Source organism: Homo sapiens, chromosome 13 (assembly GCF_000001405.40).
Source record: "Homo sapiens chromosome 13, GRCh38.p14 Primary Assembly".
Taxonomy (NCBI): Eukaryota; Metazoa; Chordata; class Mammalia; order Primates; family Hominidae; genus Homo; species Homo sapiens.
Genome location: NC_000013.11, coordinates 43206603 through 43230172, shown reverse-complemented (window position 1 = coordinate 43230172; position 23570 = coordinate 43206603). Strand labels below are relative to the sequence as shown.

The 23570-nt window shown below is 40.4% G+C and overlaps 1 protein-coding gene across 27 annotated transcripts in view; it reads left to right on the top strand.

Annotated features, from left to right (window-relative positions):
• ENOX1 (ecto-NOX disulfide-thiol exchanger 1) overlaps nt 1-17043 on the top strand; it is a 573843-nt gene extending 556800 nt beyond the window's left edge. For all 27 annotated transcript variants that reach the window (NM_001347965.2, NM_001347963.2, NM_001347971.2 and 24 more), the window contains 2 exons: nt 6035-6120; nt 16052-17043. In NM_001347965.2, the coding sequence (NP_001334894.1) occupies nt 6035-6120; nt 16052-16183 (218 nt within the window). In that variant the 3' untranslated portion in view covers nt 16184-17043. The remainder of the gene's footprint in view (nt 1-6034; nt 6121-16051) is intronic.

The window sequence follows — 23570 nt, the reverse complement described above, 5'->3', positions numbered from 1 at the left end:
CTTCTCTCCGCCATCATGATGCCACACTTTCTTATTGATTAAACCCTCTCAGAGTCCTCTGATGAGTTTTCCTCAGCTTACCTCTAAATTTTGGGCTTCTCCAGCCTTCAGTCTTGAGGCCTCTTCTCTACCTAGGTAATCTCAATGAATACTTTGGCTTCAAATCCCTTTTTGTTGCCATTGCAAATGTATACCATCTCCAGCTGCCATTTAATATTCTTCACTTAGATGCTAATGCACATCTCAAATTTAATGAGGACAAAACAGAACTCCCGATTCCCCTTTTTCCTGCCCTAATGTGCTCCTTCCCCAATATTCTCATCTGAGAAAATAGTCCCACCCAGTTGCTCAAGTGAAAAACTGTTTACTCATCTTTCATTCTTCCCCAGCCTCACTGCTCACACCAGCCCCCTGGCTCTCCCTTTGGAGTCCGCTTCTCCCTTTGCAGTCCAGATCATGACTCACCACTCCAGTCTCATGCAAACACTTCCAACTGGCCTCCCAGTTCCCCCTCTGCTCTACCCTCCATACAGCAGCTTGAGGGAAGTTTTTAAAACATAATTCAGATCATGTCAAGCACCTGCTTAGAACCACTCTTTTGGTTTCCTGCCACATTTAGAATTTAAATCTAATCCAAACTCTTTCCCCTGGCACACAAGGTCCTGCGTGATCTGGCCCCCACCTACCTCTAAACACATGTGCCACTCTCCAGCCCAGTGTGTTCTGCCAGCTCACTTCCACCTCAGGGCCTTTGCACTGTATGTGGCCTGTACCTGGAATGGTCTCCCCCGGGCTTTCCATGGCTGACTCCTTCTCATCTCACACTTGAGAAGGTCTGCTTTCTCAGGGAGAGGGCTTCACGTAATCGCTGTATTAGTCCATTCCCATGCTGCTGATAAAGACATATCCAAAACTGGGTGTTTTATAAAGAAAAAGAGGTTTAATGGACTTACAGTTCCACAGGGCTGGGGAGGCCTCACAATCATGGCAGAAGGTGGAAGGCAAAAGGCATGTCTTACATGGCAGCAAACAAGAGAGAAGAACCAAGTGAAAGAAGTTTCCCCTTATAAAACCATCAGATCTCACGAGACTTATTCACTAGCATGAGAACAGTATGGGGAAACTGCCCCTATGATTCAGTTATCTCCCACTGGGTCCCTCCCACAACATGTGGGAATTATGGGAGCTATAATTCAATGAGATTTGTTGGGGGGACATAGCCAAACCACATCAATCGCTTTGTGTAAGGTAGCGTTCCAGCAAACTGCAGGTTGCTGTCTCTTCTGTCCTCTTCCCTGATGTGTTTTCTTCATTGTGCTAAGCACTATCTAAAAATTTTTATTTTTCATCTTTGTGTTTATTATCTGTGTTGCTCACCTGGAATAAAAGTTCCACAGGACCAGCCCCTTGCCTATCTTATACAATGCTGTGCCTCTAGCACCTTGCCACCTCCTGGCTGCTAAGTGTTTCAAGTATTAAAATAAGTGATGAAGCAGTACAAATCTGGCACTATTTGGTTAATTTAAATACTGCATCCTTAGTCTTAGTGAGACCCAATAATGTAAATAAACTAGATGGTTTTGATGGGAGAAGCTCAGAGTGCTTTTGGGTAGCCAATTTAAATGGACCTTCCTAACGAGGTTTGGCACAGGCCTCTAGAGCTAGTTACTCTTTCTAAAGTAGTTTTTAAGATTCTGAGATGTGCAAAAAGCCCAATGGTACTGAACCTCCTTTGTTCTTTTAAAATTTTTTTAAATTAGGCACTTAAAATTTTTTTTCCACTTTTGGAAACCCATTCTCCAATATGGAGGCCTTCTACATCTCCATGGAAACAAGCAAGTCCAATTGTTGAGCCATCCCCTTGGAGATCCACCAGTTCAGTAACAGCTAAATCCACCACCCTCCATTCCTAGTGTTCATTTTACCAAGCCTTTAGGTCTATTCCAGAGGACCATAAAATAGTCTCCATATTCCAGGTTTGTGGCATTTTTCATTAACTTTTGAGTTACAGCCATCCTTTTTCCATCCCCAGGGAATGTCCCAGTTCCTTTAAAAAAAAAAAAAAAAAAAAAAAAAAGCTGCAAAGAGGCTTTACTTGTTTATTTAGAAAGATTCCCTCAAATGAACCTGATCCAAAATCACAGGGCCTAGAAACATTTTCTCAAGTGGCATGACTGATGCTTCTGTGGTGCTACAGGGATGGACAGATGCAGGAGTGGGAGGTGGGCTGAGGAGAGGCAAGGTACCGGGGAGGATGATGACTCATGCTTTCCTTTCGGCTGTGTCTCTAGCAACACTGGATAATTGGGTTGTCATCCACAGGAAAAGCTTGGGAAGCCTATTTGTGACTGCCTGCCTTGGCCCTACATATATCTAGTGGCAATTGCTGAACTCTTATAAGGAAAAGCTAATGGCTTCTTAATATCAGCTACCACAGAGATGGTTCTGAATACCCTCCTAAAAGAACACTCAAGTCCACGTCAGGACTTCTAATCTGATTTTAGAATCTGATTTTCCCCTTAGTTATGAGCAAAATAGTTTCAATGAAAATTTTCCTTGCTCAAAACATCCAAGTTACTCCATCCTTCTAAATCCATGACAGGACGGGTTAAGAGTAAGAATTTTCAGTGAATAATATCTCAAAGTTACCTGGTTTTTGAAAGATCTGTTACTACTTGTAGAAATGTTTAAGGTTCTTATTTATTCCCATTTATCAATAATAGACTAATAGAATTTTTAAACAAGTATACTGGAGATTTCCAGTTCTGGCAAATAAATACGTTCAACATATACCTCTTATGAATGTGTACTATGTTCTGGATATGGAACCAGAACACACAAAGACTAAGAGCACAGCTCCTTGGGGTGCAGACCCAGGATTAGGGTTGAAAGGTAGTAGACAGTGGAGGAGCAAATCCATGTTCACAGAGGGTGCCAACTTCACAGAGGCACTCTAGGTCCTCCCATTTCTGGTGTCCCTAAATGACCCATGTCAACACTTCGTCTCCTAGGCTAAGGGTTATCAACCTCTCCCCCAACCCACCCCATCCTCCTCTGACTTGTTCTATTCATCCTATTAAAGACATTTATGTTGATAACCATACACCTATGGACATTTACAAAAGGCTGTAGGTTATGCAGGAGATGTTGAAGGCTCTCTGGCCAGGGGGAATATTAAATATGAAAAATATTGTTATTTATTTGCCTGGGGTAGTTTACTTAAGACTGCTCAAGTCTTATGCCCTCTTTCTCCATGGGAGACTTATACACCCTTGTCACCCCAAAGTCTGCAGTGCTGCTGCCACTCCCTGTCTCAGCCCTGCTGCGTAAGCAGATGTCCACCCGAGGAATGCTGCTCCCCACCTTGCAGCAGCCCTCACCTCCCTGGGAGAACCCTGCAGGGGAGGAGGAGAAAAAAAGCTTCCGACTAGGAGCACCCCCTCACCTGCTCACAAAGCCAAAGCTGACTCTTCCTTCTCCCTCCCCTGTCCTTCTCCTGCCCATCACTTGTGGGAGGCTCTCTGTGGAAAGCAGTGGCCATAGTACCTGGGATGGTCAGTGAAAGCCCCACTCACCATCGTGAAACAGGGGATTCCCTCTACACGAACTGTGATTCAGCCCTTACTCTCTCATTCAACAAATAGAAGGACTAAGTTCCAGTATTTGATAGTACAGTAGGGAAATTATAGTTAACAGTAATTTACTGTATACTTCAGAATAGCTAGAAGAAAAGATTTGGGATGTTCTCAACACAAAGAAATGATAAACGTCTGAGGTGATGGCCATGCAAATTACCCTGATTCTTATCATTACACATTGTATACAGGTATCAAAATATGCCAGGTACCCAAAAAATATGTACAAATATTATATATCAATTTAAAACTTTGTAAAACAAAAAAGGAAATGCAAATGAAAATAATCATTTTTAAATAGTTCTACTATATTCTAATTTTTTTAAAGAAATCACTCCTGAGCTTTTATATTTTAACTCTTATTAGTAATAGAATTACTTAGAATGCCACTTCACCAGAATTGAGAATTTCAGTTACAGGGAAGTAGCTGTCAGGTCTCTAAAATTAAAATATAAGTAAATAAATAAGGGGAGGGGACAACACAATGCTCCCTGAGTACATTAAAAGTGGCTATTTTTCCACTTAAAGATATTTTTAAAGTATCATCATTGCCTTCTACCATTGCCATTATTTCAAAAAAGGACATTTTGACAAGAAAAAAGGAAGAATATAACCTCAGAATGAAGTGGTAGTTCTTTGTATCTCAGGAAGAACAGGTCAGTCTTTAAAAACTGAGATTCTACCTTTACAGGGAAATGTGGGAATTGTTTCTACCTCCCCATCTCACTGTCATCCTCTAGAAGCCCTGGGAAAGCAACATTCTGAGGATAGGTCTTGGAGAGTCCCTTTGGTTTTCTGTTCTCAGCCTGAGGATGAACTGGGAACTTTTCTTTAAAAACTTGACACTCATCCCATAGCATCAGGGAGCCATGAAACCCTATGGCAGATCAATCCAAGGTCACCTATAGGATGACCTAGTACAAGAATGCTGTGTGCACCTGTGCCCACCCAGATGGCATTTCATACAGGTGAGGGTCTTCCCTGGCTCCCAAGCATGAAGGCTCACAAAAAACAGAACATGAAGGCTTACCCTCAGATTTAATTCATCTTGAAACTTTTTTAACAGAAAGCTAAAACTATCAGTCTGAGGACAACTTTTCTTTTGTTTCTTTTTCAACGTTTATTTTAGAATCCAGGGGTACACGTGCAGGATTGTTACAGAGGCCTATTGCATGACTCTGAGGTTTGGGGTATGACTGAACCCATCCCCCTGGTAATGGGCATAATCCCTAATAGGGAGATTCTCAGCCCTTTCCCTCATCCCTCTCTCCCGCCTCTAGCAGTCCCCAGTGTCTACTGTTCTCCTTCTTATGTCCATGAGTACCCACTGTTAAGCTCCCACTTATAAGAACATGCAATATTTGGTTTTATTTCTGCATTAGTTCACTTAGGATAATGGCCTCCAGGTGCATCAATGTTGCTGCAAAGGGCATCATTTCCTTCTTTTTTATGGCTACATAGTATTCCATGGTTCATACCACGTTTTCTTTATGCAATCCACCACTGATGGGCACCTGAGCTGATTCCATGTTTTTGCTATCGTGAATAACAAGTGCACAACTTCTTAACAAAAAGCAGTCTACAGTTTTTGGAGTTGACTTCCTCATGTTCACTATTTTGATTTTGGATCCAGGAGCAGGGAGAAGAGGAAGGTAATGCTTTTTACTTCATTCCTGACTTCAACGTCCAGCTTTTCATTTGTCAGTACAATGTTGACAGCTGATTTGCACGATGGAAGAGCCTTATAATTTATAATCAAACTGCAGCCAAACCATCCATTCCCAGACCTTTTAAAATGATCTTGTAAATTACAGCAGCAAGAAGGGGAGAATGAGCTGGCTCCTTTTAAACAAGAGCGACAACCAGAGAGAACAGCAAATGTTTCAGGAAGAATTTGGGCTTCCTTCAATGGCAGTTGGGGGAAATATAGATTAAATACTTTTCATATCTAGCAATTGTAATTATCAGGAAAATCTGAGGCAGTGTGATTTCTGACACAGTTGTATGAGCCATTTTCATACTGCAAAGTCCACTGAGGGAAAGAAAAGATAATTTTATCCTTCCAATAACTATAATTTTATATTGGTAAATCAAGCATAAAATTGGTAGTTGAAATGCTTCCAGGAGTCTTTGTTTTGAAATATCTTTATTCAGCTGTATATTATCTCAGAGTCTAGCTTTGCTAACTACTATCATTCCAGGAGATAAAGTGTTCTGTTTGCCATGTTACTCTTACTGCCTTCAGAATGTGCTATTATTGAATGCTTGTTGAGTGCTGCTAGAAATGGCAAGACCATAACTCAGCCTGACAAAATAGTCACTGGGATTAGACAGCATTATTTAACCAGAGACTCTCATATGCCTTTGAATAATTTCCAATGTTTGCCTTTTTAATTCAGGTATCATATCAACGTTTCTTCACGTCCATCCTTTTGGAGCCAACATAGAATATCTTTGGTCATACATGCAGCAGCTGGACTCCAAGGTAAATTATTTTGCTCGAGTGAACTTTCGTTGCTCAAATTTAGCATGTTGATTGCTGCCTGCAGGTGGACTCTGCATGAACTGAACTAGGGCTGTAGCAGCCTATGGGGGTTGATCAGCCCTTCTCTTTTGCAAGGACCTCAGTTTTTGGCAGCTTGTTCTCCTCTTTTTGCTTGCTTTTGTCTTTGTAAAAAGAAGAGCAGTTATCTAAAATGACAATGACTTTTAGCAGATGCCAAGTTAATTTGGAAAGCTTATGAGAGATTTAAAAATATAGGTTCACCTGAAAGTTCCCAAAATAAGGGTGAAATCAGGTGAGTGTGGCTAATAGGGCATTATCCTCAGACCATATTCTTATAGGATTCCATGTTCTGGACTTCACACAATTGAGGAAAAATCATCCCAAATAATATAAAGATCTGATATGACTCAAGAAAGCTGTATTAATGGCTGTTTTCCAGCGTTGTTCTCTAAGTAGAAAAAAGTGGCTGCAAAATTCTTCTCAGCTGTGCCCCTCCAGGCTCACATCCAGAGCCAGACATCATTCCTCACCTCCCTGAAGCTCGGTTTTTCCCATCCACAAATTAGCTGTACTCCTACCCCACCGCAGTATTTGTGTACCCATAGAGAAGAGACAAAAAGAATGTGATTTATGTGTCAAATTCATGTGAACAATGGAAGGGGCCCTGACAAAATAAAACAACATCATTAACCAACACTAGGGAAGCCCAGGAGCGGGGTGGACACAGAAGCAAAACAGAGAAGCTAGAGAAGCCAGCGAGTTGCCTGTCAAATTTCTGGTCATGAAGGAAAATGGAAATAAGTAAGAAGGTCCTCCATAGAGCACAGCAAAACGCATGGGATTGGTACGACCAGACCAGCAGACTGCAGTGCTGTGTCCCTGAACAGACACAGCTAAATCATGCTAAATTTTCAATGGCTAGCATGCATCAAATGACTATCATGTGTTCTTATTTTGATTCAAATAATCTTCCCAATACATGATCCCAAAACTGTTTAACCTCTTAAATGGATCTAACACTTCCCCTTTGAGAGGAATCTTTTCAGTCATACAGATTTCATGCCTTTCATGACAGGGTAGAACAAAACAGGGTGAAAGGAGTTAGAGAATTTTAAAATTCTAGAGGTTCAGAATCATCTATTTTTTTCATTGTGGTTTCCCCTCACATGCACAGGTAAGAAAGAGAAAGCATTCATGTTAAACTCAGATGAAATAAGAAGGACTTGCTGCACAATGTTCCTTTGTTGTCATATAGATTTGAAGGATTTCTCTGCTGTTGTTTCCCCTTTACTGGTATTATTGTTCCTTAATATCACCACCACCTTTGCCTGGAGGATTAAACAAAACACTGCTTGCACCAATGTGTTTGGCAAAGAATAACCCCTCAAGAAATGATTCCTATTGTTGCTACCATCCTTCCCTTGTACTGTTGACATTTCTGTTCTCCCTTTCTGCAAGTCCCAAGTGAGAAGCCTTTGTTGAGAAGCAGCTGTTGTTTTAGTAGGAGCTAAAATGGCCAACAATCCACTTGTCGTTTATCAAAGAATTTCAGGACACTTTGTTTCCTCCACTCCATCATCGCAGGCTGAGAATCTATGATGATCACCAGTGAAGTGTGTGTGCCTGCGTGTGTGTGTGTGTGTGTGTGTGTAAAATCATCTCCTGGGAATGGGCAGGGATTGATAAGTAATGAATTGATTTGTTTTGGCTGGCGGGGAGGGGGTGGCGGGTAGAAGCTCTTGTTCTATTCTTATCCTCAGGGCTCAGGTAAGATTTGTGACGTTCCCTTACCAGTCTCTGAGGAGAGAGAATTCACATGCCTTGTCCCTGGCCATTAGATGATGGGCCTTTCTGGATGGGATTCAGTCAAAGGAATTGTATCTCATCGCAGACTGGTACTTTTATTTTAGAGTGATGAAGAAAGTATTTCCCTCACAGAGGAAACACACGAGGTGTCCCCTGCCTACTCCCAGATAGCTCTCCATCTTCTGAATGAAACGCCCACAGAGCTGTCAGGTTCCTTCTCATGCCTGGGGTAGAAAGTATATTGAAAAAGTACTCTAAAACTGCTGGGCACCAGGGATCAGACCACATGCTTTCTATTCCAGTGAGGCTGAGAGGATATTTAGACTTTTTAATCCAGAGAGCAAAATCCAGTGCCCACCCTGTACTGATGAGAACAGGGAAAGCAGGCTCCACCCAGTCCTGTAATGTCACTGTTGTGGTCAGGATTTCCCCAAAGGCTACATATGGGTGTAAGAATGACTAGGAATGGAAGGAATTAATTTAAATTATGCCGGGCATGTACATTGCACATGGCTTCCTAAAACCATGTAGCCCAATAATAAGCTATTTTCCAGTTAAATATTATTCCTGCTGTTGATATTTGCATATTTGCATATTTTTCTCTTCTTGGCCTTTTCTAAATTACCCACTCTCATTCACCCGGTTCTCTTGTATCAGAAACACTTGAAAAAGGAAGATTCATTCAGAGGAAAACAGGGTCCGGGTTGGGGGCAGCCATGGCTTCTGAAGCTTTGCTGAGTCAAAAATCATGCCCAGAGCACAGCAGGCAAACTCTTTAAAATAGGCAGCACTATGATGAAAATGGTTTCTATCAGTACATAGAATCTCCCATGTCAGCCCCAGGGCCCATCAAGCCCAACCTCTTGTCTCTCCGAAGCAGCCCAGAAGAAACATTTGACTTGAGCATTAGCAGATGAATACTTCTTACAGTCAAGAGGAGGGTTCGTCTGCTCTTCCCTGTTTATATATCCTTTAGGAGATGAAGGCTCAGTTTTCCAAGCGTGTCTGGTTGCCCCCTCTACACACCTGCAGCCTCTTCCCAAGGCCCATGGTGTGGAAGATTTGGTTCTGAAAACCAGACTCAGCGTAATGTGGCCACAGAGGCTGGAGGATATAGAAGGACCTGCTATTTTGGCACGACACCACTGTGACCAGCTTGAGAGGTCATGGGCATGTGTTACATTTCCCACAGAGGGGAGAATCATTCGCACTTCTGTACTAATAGCATACCTCTGCAAACACAAAATTTAAATGTCTTGGCTATGGAAAGGAGATTCAGATCCTGTTTAATTAATTGGATAGCATTCTTTCCCAGACTATAACCAGGTGATGAGGGTGGGGAAATGCTCTCAGTAGTGTTTATGAGATTGCCCACCTGAATGATCCTTAATAGTATGCATATTCTGGGGTTCTCCTTAAGAGCAGCCTGTCACAGTAATATCAATGAGTGATCCTTTAGACAGACTATAATGAATGGGTTTTTTAGATATTACAGCACTTCTGGAAAGCATATGACAGCAGAGATAACAATACTCCCCACTTGACTACATAAAGAACAAAAAAAAGGCTGTGCACCACAGTGAGAGAAGTTGGTAAGGTTACCAGGGACCTAATGAATGCTGGGATAATTCACTGCTTTTCATGTACCCAGCACTGTCTTAGGGACCAGAGAAGAACAGGAGATGACCAAGGCACAAAAGAAACCTAAGATAGAACCCTATTCTCAACAAGCTTGTAGCCTAGTTATGAAATGATTTGAGACTCAGACATGAACTAATGAAGTGCTAAATTGGGTAGGGAAGATACTCTCTGAACTAGGAGTTAGAGAAGGGTGAAATCTGTGAGTCATGATTAACAGCAAGGTACCCTCGAGTCCATGCTTCTTCTGGTGGCTTCCCTCTGGGATGCTTTAGCCAACATTGCCACATTTCTTTCCTTTCTCCTCTTTCTACCCACCCTTTCTTCTCTCCTTCCTGCCCTCATTTTCCTTCCATATTCTTTTCTCCTTTTAATTCTCTCCTGTTTACCTTCTTTCATCACATTTTTTCTGCCTCCTTCCCTTCCTCTACCAGTTTCTTGCTTCACTCCTTCGAATTCCTGACTTCTTGTCTTCTTTCCTCTTTTCCTTCTTTCTCCCTTCCTTCCTCCCCTCCCTTTGCCCCATCTACATTTTGTATTTCTCTCTGTGAACATTTGTTGTGAGGTGTCTGTGTGTGCTAACACTGTGCCCTGCCCAGGATGTGAAGAATGAACAAGATTTAAATGTGCATTTAAAGGCTAGAAGTCAGTTTTGCCCATGGAAGGAAGTCTGGTTTTCAACTGGCTTCCCTGACGCTCCGGCCTCTGCCGGCGTCTTTTCAGTAGCCCAAACAGGAGCCCCTCTTCACCAGGCTTCCCTTGCCTGATGATACGGGGTATGGAGCCAACCATGATGAGAACAAATTGATTTGCATCTGCTTGTGTCCATTTGTACATGTGATTAGAGGCCGGGCAAGGAGGCAGTAGGCTTGGCCTAGAGTGAGCAAATTAAAAAATAAATCAAGCAGATTTTATAAATGACCTCTGCGGTATCAACAGCACACAAGCTCCTTAGTTACACACAGCCTGTTTCCTTCTGATGTTTGCTTTCTTTCTTTTTTGTATTTGTAGCAAATAAATCCTTCCTAAAAGAATAAATTTAAGAAAGTTTCAAACAAAACAGGTAGAAGAATCCACTGACAATATCAAAGATTGAAAATATATAGGCCACAAATTTCTTGGAACAAAAGCCACCTGGGTAAGAGGGTAATCAAAACTTCAGGGTTATGACTATCCTCTCCACTTGCTAGAGCACCAAATACATGGTGTATGGGGAAAAGATTTCATAGTCATGGCATCTATCTCTAATCTATATCACAGTGCTACACAGTGCTCCCTTAACCACGTGTATTGCAATCATCTCCTCATAATATGCTTGGGAGTGAGGGAATGCGTCACTCTGAAAGCCGGGCTGGATTCATAATCCTTGCTCCAAGTTCTACCCCTTCACTTACCTGCTGGGCAAGCAACAGCTCTTCCCAGGAACCCAGGGCTCCATGTGTGAACAGAAGTAGGAGCTTAGAGAGAATCCCTGGTCTCAGAAGTGATTCAGGGAAGAAAATCGTGCAGGAGATGAGGAAAGGGGTAAACTTCACTCAGAGCTCAGCCAGTGAGGTCTGGGTGCTTGGTTTAAGTAATGACTCCAGAGTCTCAATTCTCTAGACAAAGAATGTACTGGTGGGAAGGCAAAGGATATTGTGATGGCAAGATGATAATAGCTGACAAATTATTAGGAAGAGAACAGAACTGAAGTAAGTGGAAGTATTTATAAAGTAAAAATTCTTTGGCCATAGGGAGAAAACAAAGGACAAATTGAATTTTCTCTTGAATTTGTCTTAAAAATCCCAAAAGATAAAATATCATAAAGGTTATTTTGTCAGGGTAGGGGAAAAGTTTGAAAATCATAAAACTAACTTACCTGATACAGCTTTCTCCCTGATCTTTCTTCTGTCATGAGATATAAATATCTTTAAACAACTTTAAGGAATTCTTCTAGAATTAGCTGAGATCCCTTTTTTTCTTGTGTCAGGGTCTCACTCTGTCACCCAAGCTGGAGTGCAGTGGAGCAATCACAGCTCACTGCAGGCTCCAACCCCTGTGCTCAAGGAATCCTCTTGCCTCAGTCTCCTGAGTAGCTGGGACCACAGGGACATGCCACCATATCGGCTAATTTTTGTATGTTTTGTAGAGATTGGGTCTCTCTATGTTGCCCAGGCTGGTCTCAAACTCCTGGGCTCAAGTGATCCTCTCACCTTAGCCTCCCAAAGTGCTGGGATTATAAGTGTGAGCCACCATGCCCAGCTGCTGAGAGCCTTATTAAATGGATATTTTAGATAGATTTTTATTTGAAGTGGTCTGTTCCATAATTATGACACAACTCTGTATTATTTGCATCTTTGTGGCAGAACCCAGCTGTTATATCTTACACTACCAACAGAAACTACAGCTAATACATTTGAGATTAATTCCCATTACACTAATTTCTGGCTTTCTCAAAATCTGAAGTATGTATTAAGTAATTACGAGGATTTCAAATCCCAGTTTCATCACTTCTTAGCTGTTTGACCTTGGACAGCTTATTTAACATCTCTGTGCCTAAGTTCCACCATCTGTAAAGTGGTTTTTGGGGGGTTATCCTTGATATTAAATGACTTAGTAGATGAAAAGCATTCCAGAACAGTACCTGGCACACAATAAGTGCTACTAAAGTGGGGACCGTCATTTGTTTTGTGCTTTAAGGTGCGCAAAAGACCTATCACATCCTCTCATTTTAAGATCTTTGCCACAACCTAATTGACAGATAAATTTTGAATGGCTTGTCCTAAGGCTAGAGCTAGGATATGGAGAGGCCAGCACACAAACCAAGTCCTCAGGGCATTCCCTGTGTTTCTTTCCAATTCCCTTGTCTTGGAAATGAGAAGACAGGCCCAAAGAAGTTAAGTGACTGGTTACTTAACTACTAAACTGGAAGAGGTTACTGATTGTTCTATCACTGTGATCCAAATCTTTTGTGTCTCCTTTTCTTTACTCCAGCAAGTGAGGGGGGCACTTGCTTGTTTAATGAGCTTTCTGATGAGATAATGCTGGTGAAGAATTTACTCTTCCCTGCCCCACAGTGAAGACTCGGTAAATGGTAGCTACCTCTGTCCCGCTGCAAGCCTTGTCCTGCTTCCTTTGTGGTTAAAGTCTAGGCTCAGGTCAAAAGACACCATGGAAAACAAGATGTTGCCACATTTCAGTACATGCTAGCCAAGACTTCCCATGATTTGCTTACCGTTTTGATGGATGGTTAATGTGGGGGTGCCCGAGCATCAGCAATATGAACGTGTGTGAGCCAGGTGAGTTGGGAATTTTCAGTTTTTTGCTGTTGATGTTGCTATCACTCTAATAGTATTCATCACAGAGGAGCCCTGCCCTCCTGTACACAGATGCCTGCCATGGCATCCACACCCACCCAGGGCCAGAGAGGCAGTGACCAAGAGGATTATTTCCTGTCCTTACTCCATGGTCCTCTCCCTGGTGGAGGTGGGCAGGGGTGGTTAAGAACAAGGCACCACAGCCAGGAGGTCTGGTCCACACTTACTGCCTGTGTTACCCTGTGGGATTTACTGAGTCTCTCAGGGCCTCAGTTTTCTTATTGGTAAATTATTCCCTATCTTATGAGAGTGTGGTGAGAATTAAATAGTGTTTTCAGAAGAGTTTGGCAAGGAAAAGTTTCCTGGTGATTGTAAGTTGTCACACTTTTTACAGCCAGCTGCAGGGCTGCTGGGTGGCACTGCCCCTTCTGACCCCAGCTGGCCTCCTACACGTTATATTTAAATCAGATATTTATTTTACCCTCAAAAACTTAGCTTTTTATCCCCTCCCTAATGAATGGCACAAACCTTCTTCCCTACATTTCCAAGGGAGGTGGCGGTTACACTGTAAACAAGGTGCTGGTGGGCTGGCAGGCACCTCGGCCTGTGTGTTCCGCTATGGCCTCTCCTTGATCTGGGGAAGGACATGCCAGGGGTGGCACTTGAATTTGACTGGAGACTAGAGCCCACCATAGATGATCTGTGCTGTCCTCCTCCAAAAGAAAGAAGGGAACTCTTTGAGAAGATAACTTGGTCTCATGAGGCTTAAAAAAAGCTGCCTCCTGGACCTATGAAAAACTAGTTTTGACCACATACCACTCCGTACTACAAAAGGTTAGATAATAGTGTCATTTTCTATCAATATTCCATACACACACACATATACATGTCTACATAAGGAGAGAGAACTTGTGCCAGGCACTGTGTTACATTTTACATATAATCCTTACAATACCCTGAGAGATATGACTTCTATTACACACCTGAAGAAACTGAGAATTACAAATGTTAAGTAATCTTCCCAAAGTCACACAGCTTGAGGCCTAGCCAGAGTAAAATCCAAGCTTGTCTGGCTTAAGTCCCCATTTTTTTTTGAGACGGAGTCTCTCTCTGTCCCCCAGGATGGAGTGCGGTGGTGCCATCTCGGCTTACTGCAACCTCCGCCTCCCAGGTTCAAGCGATTCTTCTGCCTCTTGGCCTCCTGAGTAGCTGGGATTACAGGCACGCGCCACCACACCCGGCTAATTTTTTGTATTTTTAGTAGAGACAGGGTTTTACCATGTTAGCCAAGATGGCCTCGATCTCCTGACCTCATGATCCACCCACCTCGGCCTCCCCAAATGCTGGGATTACAGGCATGAGCTACAACGCCCGGCCTAAGTCCCCATTCTTAACCCAAATATGCCTGACTATAAGAATGATCTGGGATGGTTGTTAAAAATAGATTATGTGGGCTACACCCAAGACCAGCTGAATCCGGATCTCCAGAGAAGAGGCTGGCTGGGGGATCTGATTTTTTTAACAAGTGCCTCCAGGTGACCGCTACTGAGAAAGACCTCCCAGCACCCCTGGTTGTTCACCCCTGGCTGTTGACAATCATGGGAAGTGCTTAAGGCACACCAATCAAGGCCCAGGCCCCAACCCATGAAAGAACCCTTGGGTTCTTTCCCAAGTTGTGTCTTTGATAAAACACTTAACCCTCTGTAGCTCACACCGTTTTCTGAACTATAAAATGGAGATGCATCTTAATATCTGCTCACGAATCTCACCAGAGTGCTGTGAGAATGAAATGAGAACACTGGTGGTGACTGAAAGAAAACTTACTTCTCAAAGTTATTATGAACCTTCACATAATCTGTCTCATAGGCTTTTGTCGGTTGACCTGGGAATTTAACCATCCATCTAATATGGTGTGTATCAGAAAATGCATTCAGATTTCAAAACAATTCCCAAAAATTTTAGAATACAATGTATTTCAATTTTCAGAACTGCCTCTATTTAACTAAAGTTTTGTATTATAGGCCCAGGAATATTGAATGTGTCATATGAAGTCTTTTCCATGAGAATATTAAATAAACAGTTGATTTGACTTCTTGGTCTATTTGGTGTCTCTTTTAAATGAATCCTAATATTGTTAAATGGAAAGTGTAGACTCTAAAATGATATCTCTACAGTGATTACACCATGAAAAAGTGTAATAGCTCTGATTCAATGAACATTTCTATGTGCCCATATCTGTGGTAAGCCAGTAATTTTCATGCTATCCTTATTAAATGTTATTTCCATTTGCTGAGGCTTAAAGAGACTAATTATCTCTGTAAGGGTCATTTAACTTGTGAGAATGAAGATACAGGATTCAAACAGAGTATCAGACCCCAAATTTTGGGGATATTCAAACAGAATATCAGACCCCAAATTGGCCGCCCTGCTGTATAAAATCCACATGCATACACATGGATTGGCATGCTAACACAGGACAACAAAAGCAATCACTGTGCTAGAGCAGAGGGATTATGGCTGATTTGTTCTTTAAAATGAATTATTGGTGTAAAAATTCATCAAATAAAAATATGGAGAAGAAAAAAGTTGCATTAAAAAATATACCTGAATTTTATGACTAGATATCAAGACTTGTATTGTTGTAGGTTTTGGAGTTTAGATTCCATTCCAAAAGCTTTATGGTCTCTGGTCTATGTGAAAATTAAGGAAGAGAAAGAAATTTGGGTGGCAAGAAATCCACCCGAATGTCTTCTGCTCCTGGCAGCATTAAAGAAAATTGCTGTCCTTCATAGATGAGGATGAAGCCACTAGTAGCTTTCCAGGAGTGGTGATGGATTTGCTGGGAGCCCTCTTAAATTCCCTCCCCATCTCCTTTTATATCAGGGGAGGGCTGTTCAGGAATGGTGCTGCCAGTAAGGTAGCCATCCATATGAAGGGTGAACTTGGCACTTTCCGCCCAGCCAACCCACGCCCCACCCCGCCAGCTGCTCGGGAGGTGGGATAATCACATTCAGTACTTCTGAATGTTCCTTCTATAAGGACATCCCCCTGACAGCCCAGTAGAAAACTAAATGCTGTTCATATCACTGGGAAAGCTCATCCTTCCCCAATCCATTCCTCCTTTAAGATGAGTTCCTTTCCCCAAAGTGACTTTCCTTCCTTTCTAACAGATATCTGCAAATGAAATAGAAATGCTTTTGATGAGGCTGCCACGCATGTTCAAACAGGAATTCACGGGTGTGGGAGCCACGCTGGAAAAAAGATGGAAGCTGTGTGCCTTTGAAGGAATTAAAACTACCTAACTGCGAAGAGCAAAGCATCTCTGGAAATGAAACCATGTGAACCTGGCCAGGGCGGTGCGACGGGGAAGCAGGAGGTGTGGGGTTGGTCCAGCACGCAACCTTTGTGGAGCCATCGAAGCCTGCCTTTAGTTATATCTGTGGCGTTCTCTTGTAAGTGGAAATGTAATTGTGTACCAGTTTCTTAAAATAAACAAAGCTTCATACTGTGACAGATCTGTTTCCTATGAAAACCAAACAATGATTCCACAGTCATAATGATGGCAAAATCTTAAAATGTGCTACATTTGAGAATAGCTCACCAAGCAAAATATTTAAAGTTAATGATGGTGTAGCAATGATTGTTGCTAGGCTACAGAGTTGTATATGTAATGTATAGCTGAAATCATTAAATGACATTTTCCTGAAAGTCTTTCTGTTTTAGTAAAAAAAAAAAAAAAAAAAAAAAGAAAAAGAAAAAGAAAAAAAGAAAAAAGAAAAAGTTTTACAGTGAGGGAAAAGCATACCAAAAGAAAACTTGAATATGTGTCTAAACAGTTATTGTATTTTGTAAATTAAGTTATATGCTGTTCCAGGGACTTTTGCCTTATTGAAGAGGCAGAAAATATGATTGGACACATTGAGAATGCTTTATCAAGAATATTATTTTTCTAATGTAACAATTCTCCATCATAAGTTCTTTTAACATGGACTGCATAACAGTTTTCATAAAGTGTAAATAAAGGAAAAACTAGTGTTATTGTCTTGTACTTGGTATGTAACATTCAGGTTTATGCATCAAAATAAACATTCAGTAAATATTCCTGTTACAAATTTTATAGCAAAGATATTAATTTTTTTCAATAAATATGACTTCTACCATATTGGTTTTACAAATTATTCTTTGATATATTTTATTTCTCCCTTAAGAAATCTTTTTCTCATTATTCAGTCCCATCTCATATCCTATTGTTTAAAAATGATAAAATAAATGAGTGACATTAAGAGATAAAACATTATTTCAAATAGGAATATATAAAAATTGTGGAGTGGAAATTACCAAGAAAGGAGATTATACAGCATTAATATACAGTGTTAGAGTAGATTTTTAAAAATAGTATGACATAGCATCCACAAATAATAAATTTTACCTTGTTTTGTGTCCTCCTGGGCAGATACAAAGTAGCCCATTAATCTTATTAACTCTTGCATTTATGTATCTGTATGTTTACTGGAAAACACATTAGAAAGGAAATTAAGGGATCCACACTTGGACCAACAATTTAGATAGAATTTGGGCTTCCCCTCTTTATTTTAATAACAAATGGGATATGACTTAAAATTTTGTCCCCTTCCTGCTATCCTACATAAGAATCACAAAAAAGACAAGCATCCTTAATTGTAATTGAAACATTTTTTAGGAAGACAGCTAAACAGTTAATGTTCTCTGATATTATGAAAAGATATTCATAATTTCTTATTGGACTTTTTGTCCTTTATTGATACCTTTATTGATAAGTACCTTTACTGATCTCTAATAAATTAAGATATTTACTCATACCTCCCATAAATATCTACACAAGTGTTTTGTTCAGGCTCAGGGCTAACACTATGAATATAAAGGTAAGTAAGAAAAGACCCTCTCCTTAATGTGCTCAGAGTTCAGTGTGAAAAAGACATTTTCGGCCCAGCGCGGTGGCTCATGCCTGTAATCCCAGCACTTTGGGAGGTCGAGGCGGGCAGATCACTTGAGGTCAGGAGTTCGAGACCAGCCTGGCCAGCATGGTGAAACCCCATCTCTATTAAAAATACAAAAAAAAAAAAAAAGTAGCTGGGCGTGGTGGCAGGCACCTGTAGTCCCAGCTACTAGGGCAGGAGAATCACTTGAATCCAGGAGGTGGAGGTTGCAGTGAACTGAGATTGCGCCACTGCACTCCAGCCTGGGTGACAGAGCCAAGACTCCGTCTTAAAAAAAAAAAAAAAAGAAAGAAAGAAAAGAAAAAAGAAAAAGGCATTTTCCCAAAAATTTCTATATGATGTGATTCTGGTAACAAGAAAGATATGACAGGTGCTATGGCATTCAAACTATATGTCCATATCATATTAAACCCTACACACCTTCCCTTACCATCAGTCCATGCCTGCTACCACCATCATCCTGACAGATTTATATCCAAATCAAGAGACACAAATAAAGACACAACAGTCAGAAAGGAGAAGACATCATTTACAGATGATGCTAGTATTGTAAAATAGAAAACCTAAGCAGTTCACGTGAAAAACAACAAGGAAAAAAGAATTCAGTAAAGTGGCTAGTTCTATAAAGTCATGAAGTCTAGTAAGGATACAGGGGAAGGTACCACAGCCTGTGCTATTTCTAATGGAAAGCATGGTGGATATCCTCAAACATGCATTGATACTTTCAAGTATTACTGGCAGTCACATTAGCAGAAAGACATCCTGCACAGGGTAAACCCCCAACTCTGAGCTCTGTGCTCACACAAAGCTGAGGGACCTCATATTAGATCTGACAAGAAGATATCATTTCCAAACACGTGGATATGAGCCCTACGGGGCAACTTGGGGGAGTGAAATGGTTAATTCAGCTTCCAAAAACATTAGAGTCATTGCTGGAGATAAGCTGCTGCACTAGAAAAATCTGTTTTGGCTGTAAATTTTTTATTTATACTTGAAATGAATTCTGTTACTTGTCTAGAAATATGTTGGTTATATATTTTAACTTCAATTATGTGAATCATTTATCTTTGGATTTTTTTAAATCCTCTAAATTATTTCACAGACTCTCAAGTTTAGATGGGACTTTGGAGATCACCTGGGGAAGGAACTAACATCTGTGCCTATGAGAGTGGTCTGGAGACTACGTATATCTGTCACCCCATCCTCTTTAATCCTCCTGATAACTCTATATGAAGATAATATTATCATCCCCATTTGTCACACAAGGATAACGAGGCTCAGAAGTTTTAAGTAATTTGTCCAACTTTGCAGTTAGTAACTTTTGAATCAGGATTTGAACCTAAAGCTAACTGGCTCCAAAACATATTCTCCTTTTCACTGGTCATACTTCTATTAATAGTTCGACCCATTCCATCCACCTGTGAGCCCAATGCCATCCAGTGCCTTTGGATCCCTTTTTATTCTCCTTTATTCTCCACCATCCTTTCACATTGGTAGAGGGGTGAAGACTCTTCACGCCTTTCTCTCCTTAGAATAAGCAGAATATTGAAGGTTTGGAGATCCCTGTGATCTGGCCCCAAAGGGCCTCTCTAACTTGCTTTTTCACTGTTTCCCTGAAAAGGATTCATCTTTTTTCTTGCTTTTCTTCTTTTGTTCATCTATTTGAATGAAACAATCTTCTTCACATCTAGTTATCACAGTTCTACCCAACCTTAAATGTGAAATAAGCCTTCGTGCCCCAGCAGAAGTCGCTCCTCCTGCCTCTGCACAGCCATCCCACACTTTCTGAAGGCACTTGCCACCCAGCTGTCCTTGCCCTATTATATTACAAGCTCTTTGATGGACTGAACACATCTCATTTACTTTGAATTATTTCTCAAAGTGGTTTTGCTTACAAATATTTAGAAAGTAGGACAGAGAATGATCAAGATGTTTTTCTACCTCCAGGGACCAATCTGCCTATACTTACCCAAGGGGAAAATATTACAAAATATTTGAAAAGACTGCAAATATCTTAGATCCAAGATTCCAAGGTGGGAAATGTGAGTGAGAATGTACTGCATATTATTGAAATAAGAAAATAAAAAATAACCCAATTCCTATTCAAACTTCAAACCCAGATCAATTATCAACTGTTCTACGAGGCCCTGATTCCCTCAGGAGCCCTTCTCCTGGGCTTCCCCTACTATTCATTACATTTCTATTGCAGCCCATTTACTGGATTTTAATCATTTTTTAATGTGGCTGTCTTTCCACTCCTGTAGGCAGTAGACCTCCCTTACTCATCCCTCTAGTCCCTCAGAGTCTGACATGACATAACATTACTTTTAAATAAATATTTATCAACGTTAATGAAAGAAGAACGCCCACAGGAACTTTCTGAAGTTGTTGAATCAGAATCTATTCAGGTATTAGGTCCAGCATTAGAGGCTAGAACTTTGTGTCTCTTCATTGTAATACCTTGGCAGAACCCTTATTTTTTAATTTTTCTTTTTTATTGTGGTAAAATACTTAACAATTTAGCCAGTCATAAGTGTACAATTCTGTGACATTAAATGCATTCACAATATTATGTAACCAATCATCACTATTTATACCCAAAACTTTTACATTATCCCCAACAAAATTCTGTACTCACTATACAATAACTCCTCATCCTCTTACCCTTCTAACCTCTGGTAACTTCTATTCCCTGCATCTCCATGAATGCACCTATTCTAGGTATCTCATGTAAGAGGAATCTTAACAGCATTTGCCCTTCTGTGTCTGGTTTCTTTCACTCAGCATAACACCTTTAAGGTTCATCCATACTGTAGCATGTATCAGAATTTCATTTCTTTTTAAGGCTGAATAATAGGCCAGGCACGGTGGCTCACATCTGTAATCCAGAATTTTGGGAGGCTAAGGTGGGCGGATCACTTGAGGTCAGGAGTTCGAGACCAGCCTGGCCAACATGACGAAACCCCATCTCTACTAAATACTTAATAGTCTACTAAAATGCAAAAATTAGCCAGGTGTGGTGGCACATTTCTGTAATCCCAGCTACTCGGGAGGGTGAGGCAGGAAAATCGCTTGAACCCAGGAGGTGGAGGTTGCAGTGAGCCGAGATTACGCCACTGCACCCCAACCTGGGTGACAGAGTGACACCCTGCCTCAAAAAAAAAAAAAAAAGGTTAAAAAAAAAAAGAAGAATATTCCATTGTATAAGAACTCTTCTTGCTGGCTTAGGTATTTTTAACCTATTACAGTAAGAAAAAGTCATTGATCAGTGTTGGAAAATATTTAAATACCACATCAAAAACAACATTTGAAAGTGTAGGGAAGCTTATTTTTAACTCAATAAACAGTTCATTTTCATTGAGGGTAAAAATGAAATGAAAAAAATAGAAGATGTTGGTAGTAATTGTATAGAAAATGAGACTAAACAAATGTCCATGCAACAAATTATGATTCACAACAAGTTGTTTTTTCTTGGTAAGGGTCGGGGATATTTTACTTTGAGGTTGGTTCTTGGGGTTTTGTGTGTTGGGGGGGGTTGTAGCCCTTTTCAGGAAATGGCTACTGTGTTTATTTATTGGACTTAATAATAGGTGGTTTATCTCCAAAACATAAGACCTCTTTTCCCATAATACTCAGTTTCTTCTCATAAACTGAGAAAATAGAGATATCACATCTCTAAGAATCTTATAGCTTGACTTATTTTTCATTGAAATGGTAAAAGGTTCACACGCATATTAAATAAGCCCGTCATAAGTAGCTGAAGAAACTGTCCTGTGTAGCGCACCGAAAATGAGCATTTTAAACAAGCTATAGTGAATGTGTTTACATATTAGATCACTAAAACACCGTCCCTCTAGTTCCATCACCTCCCAATTTCCTCCTCTATTTGCAAGCAGACTTTCTTTCATTCCCAGGCTTCAAATGTTTGGAAATGTCTCCTACTGTGTAGGCGAGCACTCAGGCTGCACTGGAGTCAAGCCCGGCCCAACAGTCACTGACCTTGTGGCCATGGCACATCCCTTAACCACACCGAGGTGCTAGTCCCAGATCTATAATATGGGAACGTTAATGCCTATGTCATAGGGTGATGACTAAATAAGACAGCATGCATAAAGCACCCCCTAACATAGAGCCAGGCAGACTGAAGGCATTTGTTTCTACAAAAATAGTACTTAAACTACATCATTCCCAGAAAAGGGAACAAACCCTTTCCCTATCAGCCTATGCCTATCCTGACCACTGACAGTCAATCATACGCTTCTAAATACAAGATAAAATAAATATAAAACAAGCATAATCCCCATCAATAGTCCATTAAACATGTTCAAGTGTAAGACTGAAATTAGCAAGATAATTGTAATTCTCTAACCTGCAAAGACTTCCGCAACTCTTACAGACAAATAAGTAGTGACCATCAAAGTTCTCTCATCACAGACAAAATTAAAGCCTCAATTCTTTGTTACAGCTCCCTTTTTACTTGTTTGGTATATTTCCAATAAGCAGTAATTAGGGTCAAATACATTCAGCTGTGAAGAAACTATGCTCTGGGCTACTGCCATTTTGAATGATGGTCAACTAGGTATACAGTATGCAAAGATTAAATAAAGTATTAATTATGGTTTTTTTAAGCCAGCAGAGACATTGTCAGGAAAAATTATAGTTGTAGCTGCAATAGTATTATTTTAGAGAACATACACATCTATTATAGTTGCCGAGACTGTCAAAGTAAAAGACTCCAGTAAATCTAGTAATTACAGACTGTTTGTATTAATAAAATTAGCTACTGTGGTCCAAAATTTTAACTCTTGCCTGCTCACGAAACCGTACAGATACCCAAACAAGCTGAGATGTTTGCTCTGCACATTTCACCTTTTATATAACGTACATTTATCAGTACAGGGCTATTTACTTCATGGGAAAAACAGAAGCATAAAAATAAATTGCAGACATTTTACAGTAGAAAATATTACGTCTTCAATACAAGGCAAAAAAGTGGTTAACGTACAATAGCAAGTGCACTGCATGTAATGAAATGCATTTTTTGCCTAGCAAATATATTTAGTGTGTGTTGAAAGTTGTAATATCTTCTCCTGCACAAAGAAATTTCTATTATAAAGCTCATTTGCTATTGCACAGAGTGAAACCCTTTTTCTTGTTTACTAAAGTAGTCCATCTTAATATCAGCCCACAACACTGTCAAGTTCACTTAAGAAGAGCTATGTGTAGATAAGAATAGGACTGAATCAGAAACCAGAATATTCCATTTCATCTGCTTTTCATATCTGAGAAACTGCTATGTAATTCACTACATCTGGTAGCAATCTCATTTTGGAAAACATTTTTCTTTTCAGAGAAAAGGCTAAAAATGGGTCAATTTGAGGCTCTCATCAATAAAGAAATCTTTTGCCTTTGAATATGTTTATGCATAAGTGAGGATTTGTTTCTCTAGTATTTCTTGAGATAGAATAGCAAGTATGGTCTGGGAAGTCAAACATTATCTTCAGGTGGAGACAATGTATGAAAACCTACTGTGGGTCTTTTATTAAACAGACATTATTATATCAAAATCAACATATCATGCATCATTTTTAAGACTTGCAATCATAGTAAATCAAGTTTAAAATATGAAGTACTATTAATTCTTAGATTAATTCTCACTGTCTAAGGCTGAGCAACAACAGGGTAGGATTTTGCACCTCACTGTCTGTTCCTT